Source organism: Homo sapiens, chromosome 13 (assembly GCF_000001405.40).
Source record: "Homo sapiens chromosome 13, GRCh38.p14 Primary Assembly".
Taxonomy (NCBI): Eukaryota; Metazoa; Chordata; class Mammalia; order Primates; family Hominidae; genus Homo; species Homo sapiens.
Genome location: NC_000013.11, coordinates 51,547,259 through 51,567,045, shown reverse-complemented (window position 1 = coordinate 51,567,045; position 19,787 = coordinate 51,547,259). Strand labels below are relative to the sequence as shown.

Here is a 19,787-nt window from a genome sequence, read left to right as displayed (position 1 = left end):
GACATCTTGGAACCCTGATATGATATTCTTTTAGTAATTGTGTGTGTGTTGAACTCTTCTGTTGTAATTTTATGAATAATTAAATAAGTATCAAATATAAAAATCATAAATGATTCCATTAATTTAGTTGGAAATCATAATAAAAAATTTATTATATATTTAAGAAAAGATATACACTTTTCTTATATATTTAAGGAAAGATAAACACATAAATATATACACTAAATAATATATACACTAAAAGTGATTGGCTCTTGAACCCGGGAGGCAGTGATTGTGGTGAGCCAAGATGGTGCCATTGCACTCCAGCCTGGGCAACAAGAGCAAAACTCTGTCTCAAAAAAAAAAAAAAGTGATTGGTCTGGGACTAGCATATAATTTAATTTTTTGTTAATAAGAAGTAGAAACTATTAATCATGTTATAGAATAAAATAAGTTGGTGATCGATCATAAATATTTCATATGGTTTTATAAATACATTGTACCTTATTGAATAAATAACTGAATCTAAAAAAATAAGTTTAACAGTAAGTTCTGTTTACAATATGTTTTGAAAACTTGGTAGTACTAAAATATCTTCCCATTGCACAGAAAAGAATCACCTTCACTAATTTTGTCTAATTTGGCTTTTGTGAAGTTTTTTTTTTCTTATTCCTCATGCTAGGGATGAGTAGTATTGAGAATATCTGAAAAGAGCTGCTTAGTTTAAAATACTTGAGAAGAGGTCTTTGGGTCATTCAGTCTTCCTACTGCAGGTCACTTAGCTTCACTCTCACAGCACTCTCCTTCCAGAACGATGCTTTTTTTTTTTTTTTTTTTTTTTTTTTAACAGCAGACTGATATAAAAGAAAGTCATTAAACAAAAACTGCCTTACTTTCACCACTCTACTTACCTTATACTTATATTCAGAACCTCCAAGGAAGAGTCAGAATATCCTTGTTTTTTTCTCCCTTAACAGAAATATTTAAAAGGCAAGGAACACCAGAAAGATCTATAGGTTCAATTGCCTTATTAATCATCACAGTTTCCTGCAAATCAATATTTTGGTATTTGTTGTTGTTGCCCAAGAGGTTTTTTTTCTATTACCCAAGGCACTGCATCACAGCACATTCTAGGATAGATAAAGGCTATGAAATTGGGAGAATGTCTGATGTGAATGTTAGCACATCCTCAGGCAAACTGGTGTTAGGAAAAAGTACCTATAAAAATTAAAGATCTGGAAGGGCCCAGTGGCTCAGGCCTGTAATCCCAGCACTTTGGGAGGCCGAGTTGGGTGGATCACCTGAGGTCAGGAGTTCGAGACCAGCCTGGCCAACATGGTGAAACCCTGTCTCTCTTTAGTAAAAATACAAAAATTAGCCAGACGTAGAGGTGGGTGCCTGTAATCCCAGCTACCGGGAGGCTGAGGCAGGAGAATCACTTGAACCCCGGGGGTGGAGGTTGCAGTGAGCTGAGATCACGCCACTTCACTCCAGCCTGGGTGACAGAGAGAAACTCCATCTAAAAAAATAGAAATAAAAAAATTAAAACTCTGGAAACAGATTTATATTTACTTGTATTTATTTTTCTGCCCAGAGGCCATGCTAATTTTCTGTCATCCCAATTTTAGAATATGTGCCGCCGAAGCGAGCACTGGAAACGGATATTCTTAAAATGAAGCTTTTCGGTGTACCACTTGACAAGTTTTCACAGACCTGAGTCACATTACATGGGCCACAGTTTGGACAACTCTAGTCTAGGAAACAGAAAGTGGGGCCGCAGCTCTGGTCGTGGTTGGAGCTTTTTGGTCGGGGGAGGATTAAAGGGATTATTCTCAATAGCTGAACTAAGGTAATTTCTGTTGGATTGACTACTCAGCCTTGGAAGGCCAATTAAGAAATGGAGTGAGGCTGGAGAAAAGAAGTCCCATAGCAGAGTCAAAGGCCCTTGCTACTGGTAGAGAGCATGCATTTTTCTGGCACATCCTCAGCAACCCGAACTGGCAACAGAAGGCTGGGCTGGGATCTGGGGCTCCTGGCTTCATCAGATGAAACCACACAAAGCAAGAGGAATCTAGGAGCAGACAGTGTTCTGAGACCCAGTTAGGCAGTCAGTCAGCAGACTGTGCACCAACCTCCAGGCTAGGATCAAGGGCAAGATTCAAATCTGTGATGGTAGCTTAGGAAATCAATGCAGGGCCCTGGGGCTCAAGGAACTTGTGTTCTGAGCAGGAGACCTAGGCATGATCTTAGGTGTCAGAATTAGGAACAAAGTAGGAGTACAACCACTTAATAGGGTGTCCTGTAGCAAATCACTTAATCAATTGGAACCCTGCCCTTTCTTCATCTGTAGCATGTGGATAATCACAACACCAATCTTACAGAGTTGTGAAGAATAAATATGAACATTCATTGGAGGGAATAAATCCAGTGTTGGCAAATAGCTACAAATAGCTACTCCAAGGGAAGAGGAGAAATATGAGAAAGAGTTGGAAGGGAACCATAGGGAGGACAGACAGAAGAAAGGGAGTAGAGAGAATGTCACAAAACAAGGAAGAAATCTAATAATCAGAACTGAGTCACAGGTCAAGGCCAGGCCATCTTGCTGTGGAAGGCCCAACCTTCCAACGATCAAAATTCTGAGACTAGAGAGTTACGGATAACTTCCACCTTCATTTTTAAGTCAGGTGTTTAGAATGAACTCAAGTGAATGTTCTTGCTGACTTAATTATGCACTGGTAGTTCTCAGATGTGCTCACAAAATCCTTATGGTATAAAACCTACGGTCACTTGGCATTTAACTATCATGATGAATAATGCTTCTCTAGAAGAATGTCTTTTAGTTACAACCAGGAAGATCAGATAAACATCTTCCAGTTTGTCTTCCTCTTCCTTTCCTGGTTCGCTGGCAGCAGGCATGTAACTCCTTCAGCAATAAGATTTTGTGGTTCTGATGCCTGGCTGCACACCAGAATTCCTGGGAAGTTTTTGAAAATACAGACTCCTGGACCCTCTCCCAAATGACTGAATTTGGTTTTGCAGGAGCTTGGCCTGAGAACCTGAATTTTTATAAAGTATTTCCAGATTATTCTAATGCAAATGGCTTCATCTCCATGCTTCGTCTAATGTGGAAACTGTGGACCTGGGAATCCAGTGGAAGTGTGCAGGAAGAATGACCAGCAATATGGAGGGCAAGGCCTCCAACCACGGGATACATCTCTTATTTCCTTTTATTTCCCAGTATGAGGGACCAGCCAGCCTACTTGCCTTTCCACTATTGGCAGTAAGTTTCTCTTTTCCATAGACCAAGGAGTAACACAACACAGGCTGCAGCTTTCCCCCTACTCACCTGTGTTGGAAGCCGCCTAAGGTTTTTGCAAGGCTTCCCTCTACACTTTCTCCACCTTTCCAGTCTTCTCCACTCCTCTTTAAACTAGGCAAGTGTGTGCTAACAATAGGTTTTCCTATACATAAAGGGCTAAATTAAGGCTTATCTATCCTTTTTAATGGACTTTATATTTTAAGAACAGATTTAGGTTCACAGCAGAAAGTGCAGAGTTGCCATGTGCCACCTCCTGCACACTCCCCAAGCACACTGTCAACACCCCCCCCACCACAGTGGTACATTTGTTAATCAATGAACCATTATCATCCAAAGTTTGTAGTTTACATTAAGATCCACTCTTGGTTTTGTACATTCTATGGGTTTGGACAAGTGTATAATGACATGTATTCACCACTGTAGTATCATACAGAGTAGTTTCACTGTCCTAAAAATCCTCTGTGTTCCATCTATTCACCCCCTTCTCTCCACAACCTCTGGCAATCACTGATTATTTTTCTTTTTATCTTTTTCTGTTTTTATTTTTATTTTTTAATAGAAATGGGGTTTTTGCTATATTGCCAAGGTTGGTTTCGAATTTTTGGGCTCAAGCAATCCTCCTGTCTTGGCCTCCCAAAGTGTTGGGATTACAGGTGTGAGCCACCATGCCCAGTCAGATTTTTTTTTTAATTGTCTCCATAGTTTTGCCTCTTCCAGAATTCCATACAGTTGAAATCACACCATATAGAGCCTTTTCAGATTTGCTTCTTTCACTTAGTAATATGGATTTAAGCTTCCTCCATGTTTTTCATGGCTTGATGGCTCATTTATTTTTAGCACTGAATAATATTCCATCGCCTGGACGTACCATAGTTTATTTATCCATTCATCTATTGAAGGACATCTTGGTTGCTTCCAAATTTTGGCATCTATGAATCAAGCCACTCTAAACATCTGTATACAGGTCTTTGTGTGGTGGACGTATGTTTTCTACTCATTTGGGTAAATACCAAGGAGTGTGATTGCTGGACCATAGGTAAGAGTATGTTTAGTTTTATAAGGAACTGCCAAACTGCGTCCAAAGTGGCTGTACCATTGTGCATTCCCACCAGCAGTGAATGAGAGGTTTATCTAAATTTCAGAGGAAAACCTGCTCTCCTGGAATTTTCTGCAGAGGAACGAGGAGAGTAAGGTAGGATGAAGTGGGAGTGGGAACCAATCTAGGGAAGTGGTGATAGAGTAAAATAGTGACAAAAAGACGGAAGGAAGGGAGCTTATGTTTCTGTTCCTTCTTTGCTTTCTCTTTACTAATAACTTCCATGCCACCACAGACCCACCCATACACTAGTCCTGAACTGGGCTAAAGTCAGAGACAAGGACTGTGGCTGGTGAGGTCTGTTCCTTAGGAGACCGAGAGCAGGGGAATCCCAAGTGCATCTGGTTAAGAGGAATTGGGTCTGCTATTCTTAGAACAAGGTTTCTCTCAAAAAATATTAACTGAAACCACGAATGAAAACCTCAGCTCTTCCTCAGTTTGTCATTCGAGGGTCTGAAATCATTCATTCTTCCAGAAAATATTTGTTCAGAGCCTGCCTCGTGCCAGGGAGTGAGCTGGGTGCTCGATATAATTAACTCTCTTGTACAGTCAAGGGCAGAGCTCAACGTGGCTCACATGCTGAGTTTATCATTAGAGGGCCACTGGCTCTAGGGCACAATGAGCAAGTAGAAAAGAGGAGTTAGCATGACAAGCATTTGCTTTAAAATTAAAGGCCATGTTTGTGTCAAAGTTCTAGAGCATAACTGTGTGGTCAGATCTGCTATGAGTCTTCTGCATCAAATAATGTTTAACAGAATGTGTAAAGGAATTAAATGAGATCTATGGAGAATGAAGATTGCCATATGAAATAGCAAAATGGGGGGCACAATGAGATATGAGATATATTGCCATTTAGGCAAAATGATTTACTCATTTGGAAGAGTCTGTCCCAAACTCTCATGTATAACTAAAGTTGCTTTACAAAGGAATGGACAATTTGTATCTTTCTAGAACTTTTGGGGATAACATAGTTTCCATCTAGTGCCTGCTTTTGGTTTAATATACCCCTAAAATTATACACATGAGGAAGATAAATGATTCTGTTAACAAAGAATGAGATCATCTTTATCCTCAAGGACTGTGATTAAAGGTCAATGGTTAATGACCAAAATTCTAATGTGGTCACTGGAGGAGTCCTGGCAGAATGACATCTGAAATTCCTTGGATATATCTGATGACACGTTAAAAAACTTTTTATAAGCATCAAGGGTTAACACAGTATAACCATTCTATAGATGAACCAGCTGTTGTTGTGTATGCTTAGGTCTCACAGACATGGTTTTAGGAAAAGCATTTCCCAAACTCACACTCCATCTTGTAAGCCCTTTCTAAGAAAAGACTCACCTTTCCTCTCCTGTTGTACTGCCCCAAGAATCAAGCACTGTGCAAGGCACGAAAAGGGAGCTCAGTAATGACAAGTCAGTAGAAAGACTGATTGACTCTTACTAGCTTTGCACAGCAGTTTCCAGTGAAATGGAGCAGAGAAGAGTCACATACCCATATTTCTCCTATCCAATAGAATTTACTCGGCAGTTAATACTGGAAGCCAAAGAGATCAGGGCAAATGTTTGTTATCAAAGATGCCTTCCCTTGAGTTAAATTGGTTGGGATCAGATTAATTTCCCTCAAGAGCAGCACACACCTAGGGAAAAGGGCTTTTGTGCCAAAGGACCTAATGTTATTCTTTCCCTCCAACTGCCATTCTGTCTCTAGGGAAAAAGGGCTAAAACCAACAAACAAAAAACTCTAAAACAATGAGAAAAAAAGACGGCATCCACAAATAAATAAAAAGAGCTCGGATGCAGTATAGAATAAACTGGAAGTCCTAAGCAGAAACAGAAAGAGACCAAGATATAATTGATAGCCCAATTAGTATAACCCAAACTTTGATCTCCTACATTAAATTCTGGAAAAATTCCATGGGCTTCTAAAACATGCATCTTTCCTTCCAGGGCATAAGATTCTAAAGAACTTATATCCTATAACATTTGTCCATGAATTAAGTAGTTTTTAAAAGATGGTTCCCTTTTGAGGTTGGTAAAAAGGAACTATAACTAGCACCTTGAGTGACATGATGAAGGAAGTGGAAATGTGGCTTTGTTTTCACAGTAGTCTTGCTGTCCCCAGACTTGCTCCCTCCAAGTCACCCTTCTTATTGCTGCTGGAATAATCTTCCTAAAACTGACATCAAATCATGTTACTCCCTACCATGGCCTAAAAGCTTTGAGAGCTTACCATGTCTCTAGAATGGAGCCTACAGTTATCATCTGGCCCAAGCATGCCTCCTTCTACAATCTCATTTCCTACCTTCTACTCCACCAAGCCCTAAATTCAGTGATTTTAGTTGCAAGTCATTCATCTGATCTTTTAAACAATGAAGGGGAGACCAGCAACCACTTAATCAGAGTTTGATTAGGTCATTGGCTCCATTTCTCTGCAATTCCCTTGTCTTCTGGTTGGCTTCTCATAGGGTAAGAAAATAGAAACCCACAGCTCACAGCTCACGTTTATGTGCTTCCTCTTCCTCTTCTATGTCCAATAACTGTGAGTGCATCTCTTCCCCCAACTATCAAACCAAAGTTCTGGGCTTCTTTCTGGTTACACATATCCAGCCCTACACTAATATGCCTGAGCAATACCAGGGTGAATTTGCTTAGGCCTGGAGGACATGTCTGTCTGAGAACCAACTGTGGCAAGGAAGTGGATTATGTGGACTGGCTAAGGACAATCAAGGCCCATCCCTGGAGCTGGGCATGAGATCAATTATATAATTGCAGCCTCAATTCCATGGCTGGGAAATTTTGAGGGAAGGAAAGAATGGATGCTGGATAAACATCTTCAGAATCCAAACTACTTACAATTATTTTTATTTTTATTTTTATTTTATGTATTTATTTATTTATTTATTTTGAGACAGAGTCTGTTGCCAGGCTGGAGGACGGTGGCACGATCTTGGCTTTGTGCAACCTCTGCCTCCTGGGTTCAAGCAATTCCCTGCCTCAGCCTCCCGAGTAGCTGGGACTACAGGTGTGCGCCACCATGCCCAGCTAATTTCTGTATTCTTAGTAGAGACGGGGTTTCACCATGTTGGCCAGAATGGTCTTGATCTCCTGACCTCATGATCCACCCGCCTCTGCCTCCCAAAGTGCTGGGATTACAGGCGTGAGCCACTGCGCCCAGCCTAATTATTTTATTCTGCAGTACATGTCCCTGCCCTCTTCCTGGAATGCTCTTCCCCACTGTCTAGATAACTCTTATTCTTCCCTCAACCCCAGCTCAAGCATCTCATCCTCTGTAAAGCGTTTTGGGATCTCATCCAAATACAATAGATCACACCCTTCCATGTGCCATTCTTATACCCAGTACAGAATTAATTTGTTGTTTTTTCCCATTGTTCATCAATTATTTGTTTAATGGATTTGTCTTCCCAGATAGAAGCTTAACTCCTTGAGGGCAGAAACTCTTATTTCTCTTTACTTTTGGCACCTATGAAATGCCCAGAGCACATGTGAATATCCTTTGGATAAATTCGGGTTTTCTGAATTCTGACTCATAATTTAAATATTGATCACCAAGTTGTGTGCTTTGTGTGTAGGTGTGACCTTATCTGACATCATAAACCCGAAAAAGAGACAGGTCCTCAGAAGAAGTATCTGGAGACAGGGGCACAGGCAGATGGAAGGTGAAGTGGCTTGTGTCTCTGTCTCTGGTCTTGGCTCTCTTGGTCTGGATTTGGAGGAATCTAAAAGTCTTTGAGGGTGCAGGGCATTACTAGTTGCTAAAGATGACCTCTGCCCTTTGAAGGTAGGAACCAGGCAAGAAGCTTCTCAATAGGAACCTCAAGCTGGTAACCCGGCCAGCCAGATGACCTAATTGCATGTTACGCTCCATGCTTAGGATCCCTTTATCATTCCTAATCAGAAGGAAGGGAGCAAGGATGCCCAAATACTATTTCCTTTCCCCTCACAGTTCTGAGAAAAACATACCACTTTAACCGTTCCTCAACTTACACTATCATACAGTTAAACATTTACAAAAGACGAAATAAAACTATCATCATTAGCAATAATTTTTAAATATGCTTATTCTTGGTAGGGCACAGTACATGTGGCAAAGAAACATAGAAAGCAATTGGGCAACTTCAGGGAAGCTAATAATGAATTAGCAAATGAGAAGTGCTCAGCAAAGAATAACACTGATGAGCATAATGCACATATTCTGGAAGGTCCTGGGATTACAAGATGAGAAGACACACACTGTGTTAGATGCTAGTATCTGTCGTTAAAGTCACAAAGGCAGCAGAAGACAGGTTCCATGCCCTCAGCGAAGTCACATATAAATGTAATGACTAGAGACTATTAATAAGTACAAGATAGTATAGTATGAATTATACATTTGTGATGGCACAGCAGCATTATTTGACTGATTACGGAGGGAGTGATCAGTGTGGAATGATATTAGTCAGGGCAGGCTCTTGAAGGGGTGAGTCACAAGTTTTTTGAACAAGAGGCTGACACAATGTAGTTAGTACTCGAAAAATATTATCTTAGCAATTGAGTAGAGGACGAACTGAGATGAGGGAACACAAAGCAGGAAGACCAGGGAGGAGGCAGTAATGCAAACGAGGTGCGGGGAGCCTGGACTCGTGTGTGGGCTGTGAAATAAAGCTGGAATGGTTTAGAGCAGGCAATGCAGCTGATTGCATAACAGTGTGGGCTTTTCAGATAAACTGACTTGGGCTTCAATCCTGGCTCGACTACTGACTAACTGTGTTACTTGGGTAATTGGGTAACCAACCTACCTGCTCTAAGTCTATCCCATCATCCACAAAATGCAGGAAATAATAGTACGATAGTAGAAGTTTGTCATTTTTGCTGTCCGGTATCTGAAAATTCTTCCTGACTTGAGTGAATTTCAATGTAAGTGGGAAGCCACAAAGGGGAAACTTTCTCTGCCTCCCTCTGGCAGCTAGGGCATAGACACATGCTCTGAGCAGGGCCAGTTAGTGCACACACATCTCTCTGTACTTAGGGGTAGTGATGCAAAGGCACTGTGGTCAGTTTGAGATTTTCAAGGCTGCTGTGGTTGGCATGAGAGTTCAGACGCATGGCAGAACATGTCCTGGGAAATTGTTGCAGAGGTAGAACCTTAACTCTGTGCTCCACTTCTTCCCTTGGCTCCCAGTGCTTCACCTTCCTATGTATGCTGTGGGTTGCCTGATATACTTCCAGTAAGTTCCTTTTCTGCTTGAGTTACCTGCTGCTTGCCACCAAGAACCTTGACTGGAATACAACCTCACTGTGTTGCTTTGGGGATTGAATAAGATGGCTCATATAAAGCGCTTAGCCCTGTACCTGCCATGGTTACTAAATGGTGGAGCTAAGAAAAAAGAAAGAGCTTGTGACAGAAGAGTCACAGACTCTGAGAACTAATTAGATGTGAAAGAAGAATACAAAAGAAGAATGGAAAAGGTAACACCAAGTCCGCAAACCTGCCTTCCGTATTATGGTTCTGCCTTTAACAAGAATATGGAAGCTGACAGAAGGACGCCTGCTTGAAAAGAGGCTAGAGAGCAATGGCAAAGGAATCCATCTCTCAGCGCATTGATTGAGAACATAGTGATTTGCCGACATGACAAAGCCTAAACTTGTTAGCCAGGCCCTTGAGGTACTTCATAACCCTGTCCCAACCTGCCTGTCCAGCCTCAGTTCTTACCACTCCCTGAAAGGCACCTGATGCTGGAGTCAGAGCCAGCTGCACGGTGTCCCGTGAACACACTGTGTTATTTTGAGCTGTGTTGTTTTAGCACACTGGATTCTCTTTGCTTGGAATGTCCCAATCATCCTCCCTCAACTTCGACTCCCCATTTAAGACTCGGTTTACATATTTTCTCCTCAATGAAGCCCTTCCTCACTCCTTCCAAGTAGAGCTACTCCCTCCCTCTTCGGGGTTCCCACAGAATTCTCTTCACGCCTCTCTGAGAGGTCACATTTTATTCTAATTTTCTCTTTGTATCTTTCTTTATACGGTCCCAGACACTAAGGACAATGGTTTAGTCGTCCTTGTGTTGCCAATGCCTAACATCACCTGGCACAGAGACAATACTTCACAGGCTCCTTGTCAAACACCCAGAATATTTATTTCTGTATTTAGTTAGAGATAAAAGGGTATGACTATAAGATAATGAATCTGATTCAACAATTCACACACAAAAGTCAGTCTTGGTTTTTATTTGTTAATGTGTCAAGCAATAATTAGTGTCCATTCCACTACCCAGCTCCTAAAGGGCAGAGTTTGGTTTTAACTCAGTACCAACAGGATTTTGCACCAATAGGTGCAGTAAAGTATTTTAAATCCTTTTTAAGGTGCCGCTTTGATGTAACCAAAGCAGCTTTGCTAGGATGCTGAAGAGACCCTGGCTGGGGAGGCTGCTATGAGGGGCCAAGTCAGCAACCTTGGTTAGGTTTCTCTGTAAATCTCTCTCCAGCTCTCATCCCCATGACTCAACCAAGTCACCTTTCCCAAACAGAAACTCCTAATGAAAAGAAATATTTCCTTCATATTTTCCCAAGTTAGCCTTAAGCACAAGGTTCTAGAGGAACATAGCCATTAGGACAAAATTTAGTAATTTTATTTTCCATTGACCTCAGAAATTATTCTTTTTTATTTTACCAAATGGATTTTAGATATTTTTTTCATTCATTTTGAATAAATAATACAGTCCTATGATTAAAAAATTCAGAAGTGTACAACGTCAACTCTCTCAACCATTCTCTCCTGGCCATCCAGATTCTCTACCCATGGGCAACAACACTGTGACTTACTGCTGCATTCTTCCAGAGACATTTTATGCATATTAGGAAATTTTTTTTCTTTTACATAAAACATAAAGGAACACATAGTTCTGCACTTTCTTTTTTCACTAAAAAATTTATGTCTTACAGATCTTCCCATATCAATATATATCAATACATATCTTTTTTCCTGGCTGTGTGGTATTCCATTGCATGGGTGGACTGTAATCTGTTAAGCCAGTTCCCTTTTGATAGGCCTTTAGGTTTTTCCCAATCCTTTCTGTTTTACAAACAATTCAGCAGTCCTTTTAAACCTCCCTCCAAGTTTCCTACCCAGCTTTTGCCTACATTTCAAAACATCCTGTCACTCTCATCTCACAGAGAAAACAGAGGCCATTAGATTGAAATTCCATCAATTGCCTGCCTCCCATCAATTGCCTGCCACCTTGTACTGTATATTCCTTCAAACCAGGGTGTGGTTCTCAGAATGAGCCATGTTCTCTCTTGCCTGTGTAGCTTTCCATATGCCATTCCCACTCCCACTATCATTGGTTTGCCCAGGAAACCTCTAGTAATCCTTCAAATTCAAGTGTGGATATCATGCCAGAGGGAGTTAATCAGTTGCTGCTGTGTATTATGACTGAACCTTGTTCTCCTCCCACTGTTGTACTCACTATGCTGGTTTAAAATTTGTGTACGAGTCTATATTCTCATAAGTCTGTGAGCACCTTGAGAGCTAATTCATATCAAGATGCCCAGCACTTAGTATAGTCTGGTAATAGAAGCTATTCAACAAATATTTGTTGAATAAATGAATAAATAATGTGAAGATATAAGCATAAGCTGTAACGACAAGTATTTGCAGAAGAGTAGAATGCGTCTTCAACCTTGCATGCTGTGTTGGAAACAGAATTGGACCAGAAAGCAAGAGACCCAAGGCTAGTTCATAGAAACAGCAAACTCTCCCAACATGTTCATTGCTGTATCCTCCATGCCTAGAAGGGCTGGCTCTTGACTGGTGCTGGCCAAGAACAAAGCTTTGTGTTATATTTGGATTTGAATCTGCTAAAGATGAGCTTTATTGCAAATAGTTTGTAAAGAGAAAGTTAGAATCAGAAGGGCTATAACTTTTGGACTAACTGGAGAGCATATGCAATACCCAGTCATGGATAAGTTATCATAATGCCAGTGAACTTATTAAGTTGAACATGTACAATGAATTGGCTTTTACAAATACATTTTATAGATTAAATTACACATATCCTATAGCCACGGGTTTTTCCAGGTTTGGTGCTAATCACATATTTAATCTGGGAAATGAAACAAAACCTTAATGTTAATCTTGGGTCAAGTGGGGTTCTTGGCTCCTTCCCTGTGCACATTAATGAGAGCACTAGTATGACAATCAGAGCCTGAGCCACCATAGATTTAAATTGAAACAAGCCCTTTACCAAACCTGACCTGTCCCCAACCTCCTGTGGTCACCTGAATGCTAATATGCCCCTGCCCTCTCTTCCTTGTCTTATTGAACAATAGTAACATACACGATAATGTCAGTTCTCCACCAATTTATGAAAACAAGATTCTTTCATCCTAATGCTTCTAATCCAATACAGTGACTCACAGATTGTTTTTAAACTAAGAACAAATCAAAGCTTTAGCTTTACAATTTTTATTTCTACAGTGTTCAATAAATATTTGTTGATTGACTGAATGAGTATTTTGCCATTAATTAGCTCTATAACCTTGGGCCAGTTTCATTTAATTTTTCTATGCCTCATTATTCTCATCTATATAATTGAGTTTGATTAAGTCATATTTTTCAAATTATTTTTATGGTTTAAACGCTTTCTTCAAAGCAAATCTTAAGGCCAGGTGTGGTGGCTCACGCCTGTAATCCCAGCACTCTGGGAGGCTGAGGCAGGCACATCACTTGAGGCCAGGAGTTCGAGATCAGCCTGGCTAACATTGTGAAAACCTGTCTCTATTAAAAATACAAAAATCAGCTGGGGGTGGTGGCACACATCTGTAATCCCAGCTAATCGGGAGACTGAGGCAGGAGAATCACTTGAACCCAAGAAGGGGAAGTTGTAGTGAGCCAAGATAGCATCACTGCACTCCAGCCTAGGCAATTGAGCAAGACTCTGTCTCAAAAAAAAAGGAAAAGAAAAAGAAAATCTTAAGCAGAATCTAGCATTTAAAGCAGAAAAAAGTGAGGCTGCTGTAGATGAAATAGGTTTTGGGGCCCTAAGACTCCTCTTTTCCCACCCCCATTTCTGCTCCTGAGCTGCTTTGCTGAACCCACAGGACCCTCTGAGGTACCATTTGTCCAAGCACTGGACTGAATAGAAATACAAATATAAATAGCATTGACTCTCAGACTTGTAAAAACAAAACAAAACAAAAAACTTATAGTCAACTGGATGCAGACAGTCCCAACCTGCAGCCTCTTAACTCTTAGGAATTAAGATTAACCACCCAGACAAATTAATCTGGTTTCTTTGCTTTGGAGGGTATTACATCAACTCAATCAATGTCAATCAATTTTGTAATGCTAAGCTGAATTGGAAATTATATATATATATTTTTGATAAATTAACAATGAACATGACTATATTAATAATAAACAATGAACATGAGAACATGAACAAACTACTAATGAATATATTTTAGTAGACACAATTTCTCAACATATGAAAATGGGGGGAGGAATAAAGGGGATCCTTGGGGAGTGAAAAGGTTCAGAATCACAATGAATTCCTTTTTCTTTCTTTTCATGCAAATAAAATGAGCCAGAGAAAAGTGAAATGGCTTGCCTAAGCCCTCACAGCTTACTTAGTGGCAGATTCTGCATTGGGACCTGGGACTTGTAATTTCCAGCCCAGTGCTCTTTCACTGACCATGTCGTTTCTTTATAAGGTTAGAACTTTACCTTTATGTTTCTGGAATCCCTGATCACCATGCTACAGAATGATAAAACATCCACATTATCTCAGCATTCATTATCTGAGTCCCTGAAGTCTGAAGCAGTATAGGAGACTAAAAGTCATCATAACCTAGAAACGTTTATTTATCAAATGACTGCTTATAAAAGCCACTCAGTCATATCCACTAAACATTAGCTTTGCTTCCTTCCTTCTAGGAGCAACTTTTTTGTTAGGTAGGTATCTAGCTGATGATTGGATTTTTATACAGAGTGGCAATACAATACAACTACAGTGCAAATCAAACACACTATATTTGTACTGTATTGCTAATATGCATAAAGCAAATCTCGCAAATGGTATAGGATTTTATGGGATTAATAAGAGGAAGCTGAATGCTTAGTCCACAGTGAAAGAGGGAGAAAAATATAGCTGATATTGTTATCGAGTAAAAGGGGCTCACTGTCCAATGCACTAGAAGCCCATACTATGACACCATGTTCTTGAGAAAAGAAAAGCTTTGTACTGAAAGTCAATCCCAAGGAGACAGAAGTCAAGCTCAAATCTGTCTCCCTGTGCTGCCTTCAAAACAGTATTTTTATTAGAAAAGTTTCAGGGGGTGGATTCTGAGATTAGCAGGTGATTGGTGGAAGGAAAGCAGAAGTCTGGAAAGTCCTTGGGCATGCTCAGTTATCTCTTCATGCTATCTCATGTATCACATGTGCAAATTCAGGGGGAGTTGGTATGAAACATAGGGTGGAAATTCAGGCTGCGTTGTCAGCAAGCTCCTTCTGCACCGACTCCAGTTGGTCATATTGGTTCCAAAGGATTTCAGCCATTTCTTTTATCTGATAAGCAGAGGGCATTTCAGCCTTTCAGTAGGTGTTTTTTTTTTTTTAATCTGTCATTCTGCAAACTCAAGAATTTGTTAGTCATTGGTTTCTTTAACTCTTTTGGGCATAGTTTCAGTATTGAAGAGTTAGACAAGGGCCAAATTAGGGAGGGCCTTATGGGTTTCATTAATGGTTTTCATCCTGATTGTCTTTTAAGCAGGAGAACTGTCATCAGATTCACCTCTAAAATTTTCATTTTGAAATTGGCAAATACACTAAAATATATAATCTAGCAATCGTATTTCTGTGATTCTATGTCATAGAGGCATATCCACTTGTAGAAACAACACATGTATCAGGTTATTTATTGTTGTATTATTTGTAAGAGCAAAAAATGGATCTGACTCCCATATTCAACAAAAGGGGCCTGGTTAAATAAACAATGGTATGACATGCAGCTGTCAAAACAAATAAGGAAGCTCTCTATGTAGTGATACATATGGAAAGAGCTTTAGGACATATGGCAAGGGAAAGAAAGCAAGATGTAGAACAGTGTATATGGTAGGCTATCTTTTGTGCAGTAAGGTGGGAGAAAATATATTTGAATATGCTTGTATTTGCCTTAAAAACCCTAGGAGGATTTTAAAAATATATGGGTGGAAGGGATATCATCGGAGGGTTGGGGTGAGAAGTGCAGGAGTGAACGCAAGACTTCTCTGAACATCTCTTTTTATAGTGTGTTAAATTTTGAACCTTGTCAATGTAGTACTTAATACAAACAAATCCATTTAAAAATCACTCTGGCAGCTCTATGGAGAGTGGATTGTAGGGAAATAGAGTAGAAGCTGGAGCCGATTTAGGAAGCCACTAAAGTAGTTCAGGCAATGGCTGAAGGTGGTTGGCACTTACTTGGAGGTAGCGGTGGAGCTGGTGAGAAATGGTGAGCTCAAGCTTGTGGAGCCAACTGGACTTGCTGGTGGATATAGTGTATGAGAGAAAAAAAGAAATAAAGAATAATTCCTAGATATTTGTCTTGAGCAACTGGAGGAGAAGAGAAGATAGAGTGAAGGTGGGAAGAAAATGCAAGGAAAACAGAATCGAGGGTTCTGTTTTGGACACATTTTTAATACTGGCATGCCTGTTAGGTGTCGAAGTGAACATATCTACAACTAGAGAAACATCAAGGAGGATAATGACAGCAGAGATGTTTCCAAAAATAATGAGTTCAAAATTAAAGGATTGAGAGGCCCTGGGAAAAGTTCATAAAATCCTTGAACGTTTTTGTCAAAATGTCCATCTTCACTATCATGCTGTACAAATAAAATATAAAGTGGAGAATGTCATTTGGGCTATTTTAAAATTTCATTGGAAAAATTACATCCCCAAATTCCAATCCATTTATTCTTAGTTCTAACAGGAAGTATGTAGATGTCATTATAGCTTACATTTTGTTACATATGAAGTATAATAAATATGATTTCACAGTTTGTATTGCATTTTTCAAGATAAAGCTTGAATGCAAGCTTTTTCACTATTTACTATAAAATGTAAGTGGCCTTTTTGATATCCTGAACAAAATGCAAAAGGACTGCTATAGTTTGAGTGTGTCCCCTCCAAAATTTGGGTGTTGAAACATAATGGCTCGTGATGGCATTAAGAGTTGGTGCCTTTAAAAGATGATTAGTCTATAGTCTCCTCCCTCAAGAATGGAATTAAGGAACTCATAAAAGAGGCTTCACTTAGCCTTTGGCCCTCTTGTCCTTCCCTTCAGAAGATGCAGCAACTTCTGCATTACCAGACACCAAACCCACCAGAGCCTTGATTTTGGACTTCTCAGCCTCTGGAATTGTGAAAAATAAACTTCTGTGCTTTATAAATTACAGGATAGAATCTTGCAGTGGCAAAAACACAGGGAAACAGATATAACAGAAACATTTTCTCTTCAACAGCAAGTTCACATCTTTATTAACAGAATAACTTTCTACATTTCCTAAATTCATGATGGCAGGAGGTGGAGAGTAACAATTTCTCTTACTTTACTGCCCTAGAAGTTAAATAAGTATTACTTGGTAAAAAATGCAAAACTGCTCTCTTAAGAATTCTGCCGTCAACTACTAATTTTTCTTTTGTGCATTTATCCTGAGTAGGACAGGCTTTGGAAATGTTCCAGTTAATACAAGCAGAGACTTACTGGTTGTAGTGTTTGCTGTGATGTCCAATGTGGTAGTCAGCTAGGGTGGCTATAACAAATTTCTGTAGACTGGGTGGCTAAAACAACAAACATTGATTTCTCATGGTTCTGGAAGCTGGAAGCTTGAGATCAGGGTGCAGGTATGGTCAGGTTCTGGTGAGGACTCTCTTCCTGGTTATGTCCTCACAAGGCCTTTCCTTGGTGCACGAGTGCAGAGAGAGAGAAAGAGAGAGAGAGTGCTTTTGTCTCCTCCTTTTATAAGGGCATTAATCTCATCACAGGGGCTTCACCTTCATAACTTCATTTAAACCTAATTACCTTTCAAAGCCTCATTTCCAAATACCATCAATTGAGGATTAGGGTTTCAACATATACGTTTTGGAAGAACACAAATATTTGGTCCATTGCATAGCACCCAGCCCAGAACCCCCTTCAGGCTGGAGACCCTCATACTCTCTGGTGCAGGGAGTGTTGGCTGCTGACAGGTTACAGCTGAGGCCTCCCAAAGACTTGCCTTCAATGAAGGAAGTGGCCTCTCCCAAGGTCTCCTATCCACAGGGGTGAGGGGGTGGCTACAACAGGGGTGGGAGATGCAAAGATCCAGTCCTCTTGACTCAGTTCCAGACAACCTGAATGAGTCATCCCACCTCCTGAGCGCCCCTCCCCAAGAGGTCACCTCAGGCCAAACTCTGCCGCTGTCCTACTTCCTCATGCCCTCACAAGTGTTTTCTCAATAGACGCCTGCACACAACTCTCTGTCTCAGAATCTACTTCTTGGGAAACCCAACCTAAGACACAAGAAGACCTCATTAACAGCATATTCAAGTAATCAATAATCAAATGATACAGATTTCTCTACATTTTGTGTAGGTTAAGCCACAGTGTAAAAAAAGCAAACATGGTGGATAATGCTCAAAATATAGAATACATGATCAGACACTCCCAGGGCTTGCTGTATGCACTTCGCATATATCACACATACATTCGTGGAAGAGAAATATCTTAGGTCTGTTTGGTACCATATGATTTTGGCTGTCGCAGGAAGTAGTCTCTTTGCTCATTATAACTGATCTCTGAATTCATTACCATAAGAGACTACCAAGTTTTGATCCCATTATGCTAGAATTTATTTTTGTTTCTTAAAGATGTATAACAACAGGGAGCCCAGCTTCAAGCAGGGTATAGTTGGAAAAAATGAAGAGTAAATAAAATGAGTTTGCCACTTCAGCAGAGCTCCTTAAGAATTCCTCAGTATGGATTCTGCGGCTGCATCTAAAATATAGGCCTTTGTTTTTGAATTGATTTATTATACACATAACAATTCCTAGATCATAGATCGTTTCTACTAATTTGTTTCCATCATCAAAACTTATTCAGGCTTCACTTTTTGAGATTCTTTACAACAACTTAAAAAAAGATAACATTAAAACATTAACAGTATGTTTAATAGCAAGTTATTGATGAAATAAGTTATGATGTGTCCATACTATAAAATATCACGCATCTTTTTTTTTTTTTTTTTTTTTCTGAGACAGGGCCTTGCTCTATCACCCACGCTGGAGTGCAGTGGTGTAAACACAGCTCACTGCAGTCTCCACTTTCATGCATCTGTTAAATAATATTTTAATGGTGTGCTTATTGACATAGACTATATTTATTATATATTGGTAAGTTAAATTATAAAATGAAAAATATAGTTTAAAAATTTATAAATTCTAAAAACATTATTTTGGCAAAAGTATAGAAGTAAATAAATCACCATGATATGTGGTTTATGATTTATTTTCATTTATCTTATTTACATCTTTCTACAATTATGTAATAAAAATTAGTTCGATTCTTAAATAGTGCTGTGGAAGTAGGAATTTGCAAAGAATGTTCAGACTTTTCCCTTATGCCGCTTGGGTAGCTGTAGCTCAGTGTTTGGCAAAGTCCAAAGTATTTTTACATAGCACCAACATAGCCTAACTTACATGCAGAGATTCAGTTACAAAGAGGATCTGTCTTCAGGATTCTCTTATTTTTTTAAGGTTATTTCCCCATTATTTCCTTTTCAGTCTTTGAATTTTGTCGTTCCTGCTGAAAGTTTTTTTTTTTTTTTTTTTTTTGAGACAGGTTCTCATTCTGTCACTCAGGCTGGAGTTGCAGTGGCACATCATGGCTCACTGCAGCCTCTATCTCCCCATGTTCAGGTGATTCTCCCACTTCAGCCTCCTGAATAGGTGGGACTACAGGTGTGTGCCACCACTGCTGGCTAATTTTTTTTTTTTTGTATTTTTGTAGACACAAGGTTTCATTATGTGGCCCAGGCTGGCCTTGAACTCCTGAGCTCAAGCGATCTGTCTGCCGTGGCCTCTCAAAGTGCTGGGATTACAGACATGAACCTCTGCACCCTGCCGAAAGTCATTTTTACTGCATAATTATAGAAAGATGTAAATAAGATAAATGAAAAAGAAAAATTATCAATAATTCATAAACCACATATTATGGTGATTTATTTGCTTTCATACTTTTGCCAAAATAATGCATATAGAATTTATAATTGTTTAAACTATATTTCTCATGTTATAATTTAACTTACCAATACATAATAAATATAGCCCATGCCACAAGCACACCATTAAAGTATTATTTAATAGATGCATAAA

General features: G+C 39.6%; 1 long non-coding RNA gene, 1 other non-coding gene and 1 pseudogene across 2 annotated transcripts; all 3 read right to left on the bottom strand.

The window, feature by feature from the left end:
- Positions 1,537-1,634, bottom strand: RNU6-65P (RNA, U6 small nuclear 65, pseudogene; annotated as a pseudogene).
- MIR4703 (microRNA 4703) lies at positions 14,379-14,457 on the bottom strand. Its single transcript, NR_039852.1, has one exon. It is a non-coding gene; the product is annotated as a microRNA 4703 (primary transcript).
- A 437-nt stretch (positions 14,458-14,894) lies between these two features.
- On the bottom strand, positions 14,895-17,922 carry LOC124903175 (uncharacterized). Its single transcript, XR_007063804.1, has 4 exons — positions 17,816-17,922; positions 17,140-17,336; positions 15,858-15,921; positions 14,895-14,963 (listed from the first exon to the last, which is right to left on the bottom strand). It is a non-coding gene; the product is annotated as an uncharacterized LOC124903175 (long non-coding RNA).
- Positions 17,923-19,787: the final 1,865 nt, after the last annotated feature.